At 38.3% G+C, this 15,687-nt stretch overlaps 1 protein-coding gene across 16 annotated transcripts in view, besides 1 other annotated feature; it reads right to left on the reverse strand.

Moving 5' to 3' along the window:
• Positions 1-15,687, reverse strand: part of ARAP2 (ArfGAP with RhoGAP domain, ankyrin repeat and PH domain 2) — a 239,381-nt gene that overhangs the window by 184,217 nt on the left and 39,477 nt on the right. For all 16 annotated transcript variants that reach the window (XR_007096351.1, XR_007096352.1, XR_007096353.1 and 13 more), the window contains exon 7: positions 3,958-4,027. Coding sequence is in view for 7 of the 16 variants with exons in the window: in XM_047449575.1 (XP_047305531.1) it covers positions 3,958-4,027 (70 nt within the window). In the remaining 9 variants the exon portion in view is untranslated. The remainder of the gene's footprint in view (positions 1-3,957; positions 4,028-15,687) is intronic.
• Positions 549-598: an enhancer, noted in NCBI's record as "active region_21407". NCBI's record gives its function as "activates an Ori minimal core promoter by ATAC-STARR-seq in GM12878 lymphoblastoid cells {active_cell/tissue: GM12878}" and the evidence as "EXISTENCE:reporter gene assay evidence [ECO:0000049][PMID:35858748]".

Raw genomic sequence — 15,687 nt, forward strand, 5'->3', positions numbered from 1 at the left:
CACTTTGAAAAAAGCTTCCTCATCAGTGAGAATATGGGCTGTTTAACTTTCTGTTCCTGCCGTATTTCACTTAATATAATGTCCTCCAGCTCTACCAACTTTATGCAGAGTAATCTAAAATTTCTCTCTTCCTTTCTTATCTATTCATTTCACTCAATTTCACTGCCATATTTCAAGTCATCAGTAGTCTATGTAACTGTCTTGTAAGCACCATAAACTGTAAAACTGAATTTATTTTCACCTGAAGACTTACACTCTCCTTATATCTGTCCATTAAAATATCAACTCTTCCAGTCCATCTGAAATAGAATGAAGTCATCTTTGACCTTTGCTGGTTCCTTTGCACCCACATAGCTTGCATTCTCCCCACATCTAGAATAAACTTCCTCCCCACCACTCACCAACTGTGAATTACTGTCACATTGGTTTTCTTGAGGTTTCCTGAATATATCACATTTCTACCCAAGCCAGTGCCTTTGCATACACTGTTTGCTCTGCAACGAATTGTCTTCACGCCCATCTGCACATACTTACTGCCTCCTCAACCTTCATATTTCAGCATAAATATATCCTCCTGAAGAAAGCCTTTCTGACCAGCACATTCTCTCAAACCCCTCATCCTCACAGATAACCCTAATTTAAGCTAACAGCAACCTGGATTTTTCCTTTATAACAATTATTCATTGTGATTTAAACGGTGACTTTATATTTACCTGTGTGATCATTTAATTAATATATTCTCCCCAAATAGGCTTCAGGTCATTTATCTACATTCCTCACCACCTTTCATGTAGTTAATACTATAGAAATATTTTCTGAATGAATGAATCCTATGTCTAATCAATCACAATTATAACAATCTCTGATGGCTCATTTTTAATATTTCTTGAAATTCATTTCTTATCACTTCCACTGAGGCTCCACTGAGCCTATACATTAGTCTACATGATAATAACGCCTGGCTTAGTGTAACAGTCTCCTGGTTTGCCTCCCTACTTTCAGTTTGTTTTTCTTCTGAATTTTCCTGCATATTATTTTTCAAATGTCACACAGTTGGAGAAAATCAAGAAAAGGCTCATGGAGGTGAATAACAAGATGGGTCTGATGTTTGCACAGAATGTTGATGGATGGCAATGGCTAGGGAGGCTCAGATGGAAGAACAAAAACACAAGGGGAACATGTAGGAAAAGACATGCTCCAGTTTCCCATAGTGTATACTCAGTCACTGTTTAAAAAGATCATTAGGCAGAGACACATGACATGATTGGCTTAACAAAGGAAACCCTATAAATCCAAGTAGGTTAAAATGGCAATACAAGGCCAAAACTAGACCAATAAGTGCTCTAGAAATTCAGAAGAGGAAGATAAACTCTTTCCATTGTCAGGCAACCTAAGGATGTGGGAAAGGGCACAGCATCTTTGGGGACAGTGTAAGAGCCCCTCTGCTCTAAGTCTGTAGAGACTGAGACCAGACAGCAGGAATTAGAATGCCTAAAAACATTTACAGTTTATCCCCTACGTGATCTGTTTCCAAATTTTAGCTTGCATAAGAATTAGAGGAACTTATAACAACATCCCTCTAGTGAGATAATTAACTATTTGTTGAGGAAAATGTTACCATTAACCCATTTTGTCACTAGAAATAAGTCAAGTAGCACTGTACTGAAAGAAACAGGGACTAAAAAAAGATTATCTTTCTAATAGATCCTGTTAAAGAGAAAACAATTCCTTAAAAAATAACCTACACACCTATAACAAGGATATAGTTAACAAGTAAATATTTCTGGTAGAATAATAGAAAAAAATAATTCCCCAGAGGTGATCAAAATATACTTAACAAGCAAAATACTATGTCACTAAAACCTCAGAATGTTGTAGTTTATCTAATGGCTGATTTATAATCTAGTATGAGATCCCAAGAAAAATCTTGTAATTTTTAACACTGTAGAGCTGATTTTTATATTTGTCTTGCAACAGTACAAGATAAAGACAATAAAGAAAAAAATACTCAAATGACAACAATGCTCAAAATGCCTGTGTTTTTCAGAGTATAAAATTTTCCTTAAGGAAAGAAATTTTAAAGCATCCCTTGAGCCTGTAACACACAGGTATCTAGGGCAAGCCTGTCATTTATCTACCAATTTGAGACAATGAAACGATCACAGGGCAATTCTGCCCACAGCTGGGTGAAAATGGGGGTGAGTTAGATTTCTTTGCAGGGGATAAAATATCAAGGCTGTTTGGATCATGCCATTTTCTGTGATATAATGAAGGAGTCCTTACAGAGACATGATTGGCGGCCTCAAAGAAAGTGGAAGAAACCTAGGGAATGTGTAACTGTGCACGCTACCTCCCAAAGGCCCAACCACATGCTCCTCAAGTGCACATTTAAACATTAAAAGACCCAACTGTTCAGTTCTCATAGCTGTTAACACCGGGTCACCCAGCCAAAATAGTGGCTATGGCCACACCTATGCATCCCTTTTGCTAGAAGAGTCACAACAGAAACTCTCTCTCCTTTTAGGAAACACCAAATCCAGTGTTTCTGTTTTTTTTTTTTTTTTTTTTTTTTTGCCAAAATGTAACCAACCATCTAGACAATAAATGGATGAAGTGTCACAGAAAATAACAACTTAAATTTTTTTAATATTAAGCTAAATGATTTGCAATATCTCATTTTTATATGAACTTTTTAATTTCAAACCAAGCTGCATCATTTTCATTGCATCAATAACTAAAAACGTGAGAGGTCCTCATCTCTTCACTGCAGTTGAGATAAGCTTTAAAAGAACAAACAGAGGGAAAGAGGGAAAAACAGTCCAGTTTGACACAGTTACTAGAAATTATCTCAAATGAAAACAATGGTAGTGCCAGCAACAGTTTTATGGCATGGAAGCCTGTCTCACTCCTGAGTAGTTTTCCTCCTTATTTCAATCAAACCAGAAAAGGTTACAGGTGCTGGAGAAAACCAGCAGTGAGATTCCATCAGCTATAGAGACTACCTTCTACTCAACCTAGGCAACGAATTGTCTTAAGACTCAAATGTACAAGCAAACTAGAAAAAAATAGTAGCTAAAACAGAAAACAGCTTTTAAGGCTGGTCGTGGTAGCTCATGTCTGTAATTCCAGCACTTTGGGAGGCCAAGGCGGCAGATCACTTGAGATCAGAAGTTTGAGACCAGCCTGGCCAACATGGTGAAACCTTGTCTCTACTAAAATTACAAAATTAGCCAGGCATGGTGGTGTGCACCTGTAATCCCAGCTACTCAGGAGGCTGAGGCAGGAGAATCGCTGGAACCCAGAAGGCAAAGGCTGCAGTGAGCCAAGATCCTGCCACTATACTCCAGCCTGGGCAACAGAGCAAGACTCTGTCTCCAAAAAAGAAAAAAAAGAAAATGGCTTTTCAAAAATATTCATCCAACCATCTTGCAAACCTCCAAGAGATGTGTTTATACCGATTTGATGCTCTGAGTCACTGCAAAATGAAACCAAACAATTAACACCTCTCTATATCTTCCATTATTCTCAGCCATAGAGCATGCAATGTGTGTTATGTTGCAGTATGTGTTACTGTCTAAAAGCATATATTCTTCTGTCCTGCAGCAATAAAGAAGCAATATATAAAAAGAAGGCTAAATATCTATTAGAGCCACAGGTATTGCCAATATTAGGGGGTGGAAATCTCCAAATAATGAGAAAATTATGTTAGATTATGAGCTACAAAAAAGAGCATGTGGTTAAATCTTAAAATTAGTGTGTTAAGAGAAAGTACATACTTAAGACAAAAATCATCTGATTTTAATTAACTAAGCATATGGTAATATATTTATTAGTTGCAACTTCAAATTCTTTTCATGTTGAGAATCTACCTCCTATTCTTAAAAACCAAACTGCTTGCTTATTTTACTCTTCGTATGCATAAAAAAGCAATTTTTGAAAACTGTAAAATGTATTTACCTTCTCATTATTGTAGTAAGAAATGCTAAGGCCATCAAATTTCACCCATCTCTTTTGAAACATGCGTTTTCTGCAAAACATATGAAATTGTTATTTTACATTCAAGTAACATGAACTTAGATTGTTAAATTCATTTGTAATGTAACCGTGTAAATATATTATTATTTAATGTTAAACACCATAGACAACAATAGGCTATGATAATACACAGTTTTGGCCATGGCACATAGGAAAAAATAGCATAATAGTACTTTCTAATCAGTTGACCTAGGAATTTTTTGTTAATGACAAAATTAACAGCGTTGTTGCACACATTTGTAAGGTTCGGTGCACAACAAAATGTGGTCAGAAACACTGTCACTGAACCCATTTCTAATAATAAAGATAATCCTTCCACGAAGATAATATAAGCTTTCATCCCTCATTAAGCTTATATATCTATTTTATTTTCCCTTGATTTTTGTTTTAGGGCATAAATATCTTACTAAAATAACAAGGCTTTGTCAATTGGATTTACATGGAAAACATATTGAATTTTGATTAAGCTGAAAAAGACCTGAACAAATATACAGAATCATTTATAAGCATTCAAAATTCAGTGAAAGATTAGTATATTTTTTAAATGATCATATGAAAGGCAAAGGTAGTTTAAAATGGCTACTGACATGAAAAACAAAAGCAAAAAAAGATATCACATGTTGCAGGCTTAAAAGAAAAAATAAACTATTTTTCTGACTATATAAGGAAGAAGTGAAGAACTGTTTTTACTTAGGCTTGCTTTTTATTTTTATTTTATATTCTCCTTCCCTGAAGGCAGACAACCATAGGTACTTTTGGTCTTTAACACAGAAAATATACGAAAACGAACTTCTTATTTTTTAAAAAATTTAAAAAATATTATTTCTAAACAAATATCAACTCTGTCTACCTTGTGCTTTTGCAATTTTCTGAAATGTTTAAAACAAGGAGTTGGCATAACTTTTCTTGGCTCTCAGAAGACAATAGAAAAAGAACTTCAGGAAGTGTAGAGAGCTTGTCTCTGGGCTGGTTCCCCAGCCACACATCTATTATGCAAGTGAAACACAGCAAGCCTCCCAAATTAATTGTTAGCAAATATGTTCTGCATAAGATAAAATTATACCAAATCTGATCAAATATAAAAAATTTTTGAGATTCTTTACTGCAGACAACATTTTCACATATAAGCATTGAATTAATTATGAAGTAATAAGAACATGTAAATTTACATGTAAATATCTTAAAAGCATATAACCACTTCATATTTAATTCTAATTACAGAAAAAAAATATAAAATAAAAATTTTGGCCAGGCGTGGTGGCTCATGCTTATAATCCCATCACTTTGAGAAGCTGAGGTGGGTGGATCACTGGGCAACATGGCAAAACCCTGTCTCTACAAAACATACAGGAAAAAAAAAAATAGCCAGGCATGGTAGCGCACAACTGTTGTCCAAGCTATTTGGAAGGCTCAGGTTGAAAGGATCATTTGAGCCCAGGAGGTGGAAGCTACAGTGAGTTACGACTGCACCACTGTACTCCAGCCTGGGCAACACAGTGAGAGCCCCATCTCAAAAAAATTACTTTAAAAGCATATTACCACAACTGACCACCCAGCCCTCTTTCCATCTTATTTTTCATCTTTCAGCTTCTAGAATTTAACTTTTCTTGGCCTGTCTGCAATGGGTTTTCCTCACTTTGCAACATCCAACAGTGTTAGAGCCATCTGGTTTTTACTTTTTCTAGCAACACAGGGTTCCTTAAATTCTCAGCATTAAATGTTGAAAGGTAAAGAAATATTAAGCAAACACAATAATTATACACTGGATAAATTAGTCACTTTTTGCTCATTTCATTTTATCTCTTCCACACTTAAAGGCAGAGAAATACATACCTTCTAACACAATCCAAACAGTAATTCAGTAAATCAAGATTTTGCTTTGGGACACAACCCACTTCACACTGGGAATGACAGTAAGCTAGAGCTCAATTACATATATAATCTTCCATTTTAAGATAAAAATAATTAACATCTGTGGGGGATAGAGCCCTTAGGGCCTCCCATTACCCCACTATTCCCTTTGCTGACTCCTTATCTTTCAGTTACATCTAAACCAACTACAAAGAAATCCCTTCCCTGATGACCCGATCCAAAGTGGATAACAAAGTTATTCTCTCTCTCAATACCCTCTACTTTTCCTCATAGCACTTAACACAACCTCTAATTTTATATATTTGCTTATTTGCTTAATGTTTGTCTCCCACACCAGGTCTTATGCTTTACAAGGACAATGTTTATTTCCTTCTGTAGGATCAGCAAGTAACACAGAGAGGAATATGGCACTGAAAAAGAATTTGCTGAAGGAATGAGTGACATGATTAAAAGCACAGTCCTTCTGGCACCATGGGTGGGATAACAGACAAATAAAAACTCAAATGATCAGCACTCATATAATCAGCATCTTTTAAAAGAACGGTTGAGGGAATGCAAGAAAACTTCAGAACACGCAGAATTAAATTCAAAGTTTTGAAACCTGCCAAAACATCAAGTATAAAAGGTTTACAACCTATTTTCACATGTCTTACTTAAGATTAACTGCAGCCACTCCAACACTTAAAACTTTCTTAGAATTCCATCACCATCTTGATAGACAGTTTGTGTCTGAGGCATCATCCAGTTACTTAATATTTGTGTCCACAGAAAAAGGAGGAGGGGAAGAGGGAGGGCCGATAGCTTACTCATGTGTTAGGCTTAAGGATCAGTCGAAGATGCAGCATCTGACTAGCTACAACTCCCCTCTCAGGCGCTCATAATGCAAAGGACACACCCTACCACTGGCTCTCTGAGGAAAATCTCAGCCTCTGAGAGAATCAGCTCCTAAGATATTCTCCCAATTATTTTAATTTTTTTCAACTGCCAGGTGACTATTTGATGTCTTCATCTATTTTTAACTCAATATTTTTAAAGATTATTAAATCTCTTTAACATTCTATGAAGGGACAGGTAAATAAGACAAATCCCAGCCCACAGTGAAATGGAATGAGAAACCACAGGGTGTAGCAGATGAAAGAACATGAAAGAACAACTGCCCTACAGGTGGAGAAAGCTATTCTGCACTCCTACCATCGAAAGTTGGCTTCTGTGGTCACGCATTCACCCAGTCAGCCATCAAAATCTGTGGGTACATACTCGGTGGACACCACTCTCTGGCCGCACTGCCTCTCTTCTCCAGACTCTTTCTTGCCTCATGGCCTTCCCATATGCCATTGTCTCTGCTTGGAATGCTGCCTGCCTGCTCCTAACATGGCTGGCTCCTTCTTATTCTTGAGAGTTCATCTTTAACGTCATTTCACCAAGTGACCATTCCTGACTATGCATAGATCATTTAGGTCTCTTTGTTCTCTTGCTCCATTTCTTTACTTAATGACACTAAGCAGAATGTGTAATGATATATTTGTTTTGGCTTCGTATACCACCCATACTAGATTTCTTTTTCTTGAGCCTTCCTTATCTTTTTGCAAAATACGCATTTTATTGATACATATTAATTGACATACTTATGGGGTAAATGTGATATTTTGATATACGCATACAATGTGTAATGATCAATCAGGGTAAATATATCCATCACATCAAACAGACTTTGAGATCCTTGAGTACAGAATCCATTTCTGTTTCGTTCATCAATATAAAACCAGTGACTATCATAGTTCCTCACGTACAGCGAAGAAACGAATGAATGTATTTTTCACTGAAAGATATTTACTTGAATTTCTATCGTATAAATATAGAAATAAACACTACTGAAAAACTTCATCCTTACTTTTATTTTTGCAAATATTAAAAACCAGATTTTTATATGACAAAATAAACACTTTGTAAAACTACTGTTGCAGGATCCTCAGGGTGTTGCTTTTCTGGCCAGAAGCCTCTGTGGCTGGTGGCACCTTTGCCTGAGTTCTGCTCTGGCCCACTGGGTTTGTTCCATCCATTTGGCTTGAGCAGGCTGTGCTCAGCTCACGCTACCAGCCTGGATCCCATCACTGCCAACGGCAAGCCAGGTGTGGAGCAGTGAGGGGTGTGTGAGCAAGTGAGCATGGGGTCCAGCCACTGCACACAGTGAGGCACCCCAGCTGCTGCAGCGGGGCAGCCAGCACAAGGTGTCTGCATGGGTGCCGGCTCTCTGCAAGGCTGCAGCTGGACCAGGCACACCAGAAGCAGCTTCCACAGCTGCCACCAGGAAACATGGTGGCGGCTGGAAGCTTGAGACTCCAGGAACTTAAGAGGTCCAAAGAGGGAGTCACAGCCCTGCCTCAGGGAGCTTCCAGGTCTCGGTTCCCCGAAGGGCCGCAGCTCTTCTCCTTGTTTTCACCCATAACATGATGAGAAGGCGAAGTGTTTCAGCCCTGTTTGTGTTACAGCTCTTTCAGCCCCGACATCTCCCAGGTCCCAAGTTCTTGTGCTGTGTCCAGAAAGAAGGAGGTACGCAGACAAGTGGAGGGTGAGCAAGGCGAAGAGGAGCTTTATTGAGTGATAGAATAGCTCAGAGGAGGTCCTGGGTGGGGAGCTCCTCTCTGCAGGCAGGTCATCTGATGTCTGCAGCTATCAGCAGAGGGTAGGCCCTGGCCATGGGTAGCTCCTCCCTGCAGCTGGTCGTCCTGATGTCTGCGCAGCTCTGGCTGATCCGGGGGCTTTTATGGGCCTCAGGGGAGGAAGTGTGCACCAACTGGTCCATGGGCAGTCATAGGCAGACCCAGAAAAGGCACCACAAGTTCCTACTGTGGTCTGCAGGACTAGCCGGCCCCTAACCTTTAGGCCCTCCCTGGCCTGAAGGTGGGGACTCACCAAGGACCTGCCCCCTTCTGCCCATGGCCCAGCTTCACCTCCTGCTGCTGTTCATGGCGCCCAGGCTGTTCATGTCAAGAGGTGTCTGCAGGCCAGTGCTGAGTTGACCTCAGCGCTTCCTTGGCTTTCCTCCCTCCCATGCTCATCAGGACCCAAAGTCCAGAGTGGGGCTGAGGCAGCAGGGAGCTGGCATGTCAGCACTTCCCCAAGAGTGCACAGATCCAGATGGGCTGTGACAGTACCTGGCCCGGGCCCCAATCTTGCTCTGAGATAGGAGCAGACACTGGGAGCAGGGAGAAGCCAGGCAGTTGGAGCAGACATCTTTGAGCTTTCGTAGGTAGGGGGTGGCCTTCTGGTCCCCAAGAGTGCAGAGATGCCTGGCTCTGCAGCCCTGACTTGGGCAGAGGCTGCTGCAACTGGGAACACAGGGCTCCTGCCAGCTTCCAGCCTCCACCAAGAGCACAGGGAGGCCTGGACTCATAGCCACAACTTGGGCATCTGTAGCTACACCCAGGAGAGCAGGACTCCTGTCTGCTCCAGTGGGAGGCCTGGAGTGGGAGGCCTGGGTCCCACAGCCACAGCTTGGCAACTACAGCTGCACCCGAGGAGCTCCCACCTTACCAACTCGGAAGGGGCAGGGCTCCCACTTGTCCTTGGCTCACGCCATCTCTGTAGAGTATGCAGCCCTGGCCACACCTCTCTGCTGCAGCCAGTGTCATGGCAGCAGCGGCTCCAGATGGGTCACCACTGCCATCACTACCTTGTTATTAAAAAATGAATAAATAAGAGCCTACAGAAAGCTTGAAAAGTTTACCATTAATTTCCATGTAATTTCAAAATACATTTTAGAATTAAAAAAAATTTTTTTTGAGGTGGAGTCTCACTCTGTCACCCAAGCGGGAGTGCAGTGGCACAATCTCTGCTCACTGCAACCTCCACCTCCCGGGTTCAAGTGTTTCTTCTGCCTCAGCTGACGGAGTAGCTGGGACTACAGGCACATGCCACCATATCCAGCTAATTTTTGTATTTTTAGTAGAGACAGGGTTTCACCATATTGGACAGGCTGGTCTCAAATTCCTGACCTCATGATCTGCCCGCCTGGACCTCCCAAAATGCTGGGTTTACAGGTGTGAGCCACCACGCCTGACCAAATTAAAAACTTTTTAACCAACATCTCACCCTTAACCCCACCTCCCAGTCCCTGTTAATCACCATTCTACTCTGTTTCTATGAGTGTATTTTTTTTAGATTCCACATATACATAGATACCACGTAAAGGTTACAAACTTTCAGTTATAAGAATAAATTCTGGAGATCTAATATACAGCATGGTGACTATAGCTAATAATGTATTGTACACCTGAAATTTGCTAAGACAGTACATCTGAAGTGTTCTTATCACACACACACAAAAACAAACTCTGTTAGGTGACAGTTGTTATTAGCTTCTTTGTGTTAATTATTTCACAATATATAGGGATATCAAATCATCACACTGTATACCTTAAACACATATAATCTTTGAAAATCACATCTCAATAAAGCTGGAAACAAAAAGAAAAATTTAAATATGGTTATTTAAAATGTATGCATTTGATACTCTCCTATTTAAAAATGTTAAATAACCAATTTATTTTTAAACCTAAATTCATATAAACATTGAATAATCTATTTTCATTAAAACTATCAACATTCAATTAGTTGTTTTCCACATGTGAACTTCAATACTGAATTCCAATAATTAGTTAATTAAAGATAAAACTTTACACTTATATCTTTTCTCAGCACTATTCCCTTTTTTTATTTTTGTTTATTTATTTATTTTTTTTTTTGAGACACAGTTTTGTTCTTGTTGCCCAGGCTGGAGTGCAATGGTGCAATCTCAGCTGACCACAACCTCCACCTCCTAGGTTCAAGCCATTCTCCTGCCTCAGCCTCCTGAGTAGCTGGGATTACGGGCATGCACCACCATGCCCAGCTAATTTTGTATTTTTAGTAGAGATGGGGTTTCTCCGTGTTGGTCAGGCTGGTCTCAAACTCCCAACCTCAGGTGATCTAGCTGTCTCGGCCTCCCAAAGTGCTGGGATTACAAGTGTGAGCCACCGTGCCCGGCCTCCTCTTTTCTAGCACATGGAAAGTTAGATTAATTCATACTGGTAAACCTTACAAATTAATCAAAATTTCAACTAAATAATAAAAGGAAAAGCTTGAGAAGTCCTGTGCTTCTAACTGCCCATGTAAAATTAAATTAATAAATATCAATGATTACTAAATGTTTAAGAATTTTCTGTGCAAAAGTTCAATACTCCTCTCATGTGTTTTTAAACATATATTCACTATCCGGCAACTAATTTCATTGTAATTACATATAATTAATACATACACTATAAGAATTTGCCAAAGTACTTCGAAAAGTTTTCTCTGAAGTTGTATCTTTAAATTTCAATTACTAGCTTAATTTGCTTCACAAATTTTAAAAAACAGGAAAAGATAATGTATACAAGACAATGCCTTCTTAGCCTATGTTCCGGCTACCATACAATACAAATTAGATCTGAAATAATGATGCGTTATTACACAGAAAATAGATTTAAAGTTGCAATCAATAAAGAAGTTATTTGGTACTACATTTGGTAATAAAAATAGCAAACACATAGTCCTTTTTTCCAAGAACTGTGTAGAGCCACACACAAATATTAACTCATTTAATCCTCCAGACAAACATGTGAGACAGGTAACATTATTATATCCATTTTAGAGTTGAAGGCACAGAGGCAGTGGTTGCTTAAATAATATGTCCAAGTCATACAGGTAATAAAGAACATATCTGGGAGTGTCTTCCCAAAGACTGCTCTTAACTGCTATACAAAGCAGACATTAGTACATTTTATAGCTAAGTACCCAGGACATCCCTGTAGGTAGTAATAACATTTGACCTCTACATTTTATATGTGAGTTCAGTCTTGCAAAGTACTTCAGAATTCCTTCAGGAAAAAAGGTAAAGCAGACATGAAACACATTAGCCTGAGTTTTATCTCATTTTGTTTTTAGGGTTCTGAAGGGAAACATTTATTTAAGAAGCTTTTTTCGAATAATTTATTAGACTTGTGCAGTATTATTGAACATATTTCTATAAACTCTTCCCTTGAGCTCTGGTAGGGCAGGTGGTGTAAAGTTTCAACTGCTTTCATAAAAACAGCTTCACCATCTGGTATCAGTTTTTGTTGTCTCAAAATGTGTTTCTTAAAAATTATTTTTTAACAACACTGTATACACACACAATTAAATCTCTATTTATGAAGTACTCACACAGAGGCACTCTTGTTTAATTTAATTCCTAAGTGCCAGCAGAGTTTTTTTTTTCAAGATTACATCTTTAAGCTTAAAAAACAAATCCTAATATCTAACAAGCATGCTAACTAACCAATGATACCAATCTAAGGTGTGAGAAGCTACCAAATTGTCACCTTTAAAAATCACACAATTGGAAAGAACATCAAAGACATTAAGTCAAATTTATGGCTTTTATTAATCCTGCCATTTAAGGCAATGAAAAACATACTTCTCAAATATTCTAAACAATCTCAAAGGAAAAAGTATAATCACCATGCTGTTCCAGATTCATCTGCCTTGTTTACATAGCCCTAAAGAATCACAGCATATTTTATGTTATTCCCTCCTCTAACCCTAACGAGACCCAATATTTTCTAGGACTACAATCTCCATACGTATTTATTTTTATTTATCTAATTACTCATTTTTATTCAGCTATTTATTTATCCAATTATTCTTTTAAGAAGCAGAAGACTTTTAAACGATACAGTAACAAAATATTTTAGAGAGAGAAAGATGCAAGGAATTACTAAAATATTTCTATAAAATGCCAGCACTTCTCTATTCTAAAGAGCACTTTCTCACTTTTGAGCAAACCAAAATAGCAATTTCCAAGATTATATGAACCAAATGAGCTGGGGCCAAAAAACGAAAATAAAACAAAAAAAGTATCTTCAATCTCAGCTTCCATCTCTGCTATATCTACATCCTAAAATGAGAAGAAAAAAAAAAAGGTACTCAACATAAAATTCTAGGGGCTAAAAAGATTCTTGGAAGTCAATGATAAAGCCTGAATTTTAGTGTGCAACTACCAATTTTAAAAATATCTACAAAGAGCTTAGTGCTTTCATAAAGTGGTGTATAAAAAGCTATGTTAAAAGATTCACACTTCTTTATTTTATGGAGTCATATTATATAAAATACAACGTGAACCAGCTTCCAGTTAAAAATCTCAGTTAAAAGCTTGCATTTACTTCTACTCCTCCCCAAACCTCACTAAAAGACATCAAAGGGTTAAGAAATAAATAAAAATAAATAAATGCCTGCAAATCAACACTGACCAGAGAAGTCGAGGACAGTAACAATATCTAGAAATCTGGAAACAGAAGGAGAGATGTGAACTGATCGCTAATCCAGCATTCGATTAAATTAAGAGAAAAACACATTTACTCTTGCATTACCTCTGAAAATCTCAGGAAATAGATACCAAGTAACTCTGGAAGTGACTATGAAAGTGAGGGTGAGGTGCTGATAATGGATATATTGAAAGGCAGTTTAAGATGTAGACTTGCACTCCAACATCACAGAATCCTTCTCCCCTACTTCTCACTGTTGGAAAACTGTCTCTCCACCTTCACTCAACATAATAGTCTAGTTTTATTCAATGGAGAGAATAAAACAGGAGGTTTTGGGGCTGGGAGACTCAGGCATGGCTATATTAAAGCAGAGGAATCAAATAAAAGTCTACATCATAACTATCAATACTCAAAGTCCACTTTCCCACATGAGCCACCCAAAAACTGGTTACCAGGCCTGGCGCAGTGGCTCACCCTGTAATCCAGCATTTTGGGAGACCTAGGTGGGTGGATCACCTGAGGTCAGGAGATCAAGACCAGCCTGAGCAACATGGAGAAACCCCCTCTCTACTAAAAATACAAAAATTAGCCAGGCATGGTGATGTGTGCCTGTAATCCCAGCTACTCAGGAGGCTGAGGCAGGAGAATTGCTTGAACCTGGGAGGTGGAGGTTGCAGTGAGCCAAGATCGTGCCACTGCACTCCATCCTGGGTGACAGAGCAACACTGTGTCTCAAAAAAACAAAACAAAACAAAACAAAAAAAACTGGTTACCAGGCCTATAACACTCAGGAAGAAGATTCATTTAAAAGATACTAGCATCTAGCATGAGGCTTCTGTATGGAAATACATTACTAAAAAACCTACCATGATCGTCTTACAAGAAACAAATAGCAAGGCCCATCAGAGCCTACGGTGCTTCCGATCAGTTTTGCAGTATTTTACTCTAAATTGACAGCTCAAGATTAACATAACATTTGAGAAAAATACCACTAAGGTAAAAGATAGGGACAAAACCACTCCTCCAAAAAGTTAAAAAGAAATAGACTCTACAGGAAAGCGTCAAAAAAAAAGTATTAGTATCTTCAGAGAAGTAAAAGGATTTATTTGTGAAAAAGTAACACTATGCCATAAAAAGAACAGTCAAAAGAACATGTTTTGTATGTTAATTACAGTATAACAACAACAACAAAAAAAACTGGGTTAGGAAACACAACTGAAGAAACTTCCTAGTGAGCAGAAAGGGAAAATGGAAAAGCTGGATTTTTATCAGTGTTTCAGGGCAAGAAGTCCAACACCAAACTATCAGGAATTCTAGAAAGAAGAAAAGTAATTGAAGAATAAAACAAGAAAATCTCCAAGAACTGAAAAATAGGCTATGTATAAAGTATCAAAAATGAGATTTCTCAATATTACCTCTAGATTACTATGGATCTAGAATACAAATTACTGATCTGGAGAAGTATTATTTCCAGTTAAGATTTCTAAAACATAATAAACCAACAATAACAATGTTTAGGGGGGAAAAAAAGACATCTTCAAACATGGAAGATCTGAAAACATTGACTCCCTATCCTCCTTTTCTCAGGAAGCTTCAAAGACTTGTGCTTTATCTAAAGAAAAGATGGAAAGACAAAAACACTAGAGAGAGGCATAGAGAATCCCAAAGATGATACAAGGGAATCCCAAGATGTTAGTGTGCACTCGGCCTGGGGAACAACCAGCCCAAACTAAAGTTTTCTTAGCGGGCTACAGGATGATGAAATTGATAGGTATATTTATTTTGGTTACTTCAGAGATTCATATGTTGAGGAAGAATTTTCAGATGAATGAGTACACATATTAAAAATTAAGCAAACAGGCCGGGCACGGTCGTTTATGCCTGTAATCCCAGCACTGTGGGAGACCGAGGAGGGTAGATCACGAGGTCAGGAGTTCAAGACCAGCCTGGCCAAGATGGTGAAACCCCGTCTCTACTAAAAATACAAAAATTAGCCAGGTGTGGTGGCAGGCGCCTGTAATCCCGACTACTCGGGAGGCTGTGGCAGAGAACTGCTTGAACCCAGGAGGTGAAGTTTGCAGTGAGCCAAGATCAAGCCACTGCACTCCAGCCTGGGCAACCGAGCGAGACTCCATCTCAAAAAAAAAAAAAAAAAAAAAAAAAAAAAAAAAAAAATCAAGCAAACAAAAAAATCAACAATTATTATTTCAAGAAAAACTAAACATTGTCAATGAAAAAAATTAATCATACTATGCTACATTGTTCAAAAATGAGTAGCCTTTATAGTTATACTATAAAACAAAATTACAGACATCTAAATATTTTATGTAACTATTTTAAAAGGATAATAGGAATTGTGTCTAGAAGGGAAGGAGGGAACAGTGGTTAAAATGAATAAATATGATCTTCCATGGTGGTACATCAATAGCTAATCCCTAACACTGAAAAGTTAAAAAAA

Source organism: Homo sapiens, chromosome 4 (genome assembly GCF_000001405.40).
Source record: "Homo sapiens chromosome 4, GRCh38.p14 Primary Assembly".
Taxonomy (NCBI): domain Eukaryota; kingdom Metazoa; phylum Chordata; class Mammalia; order Primates; family Hominidae; genus Homo; species Homo sapiens.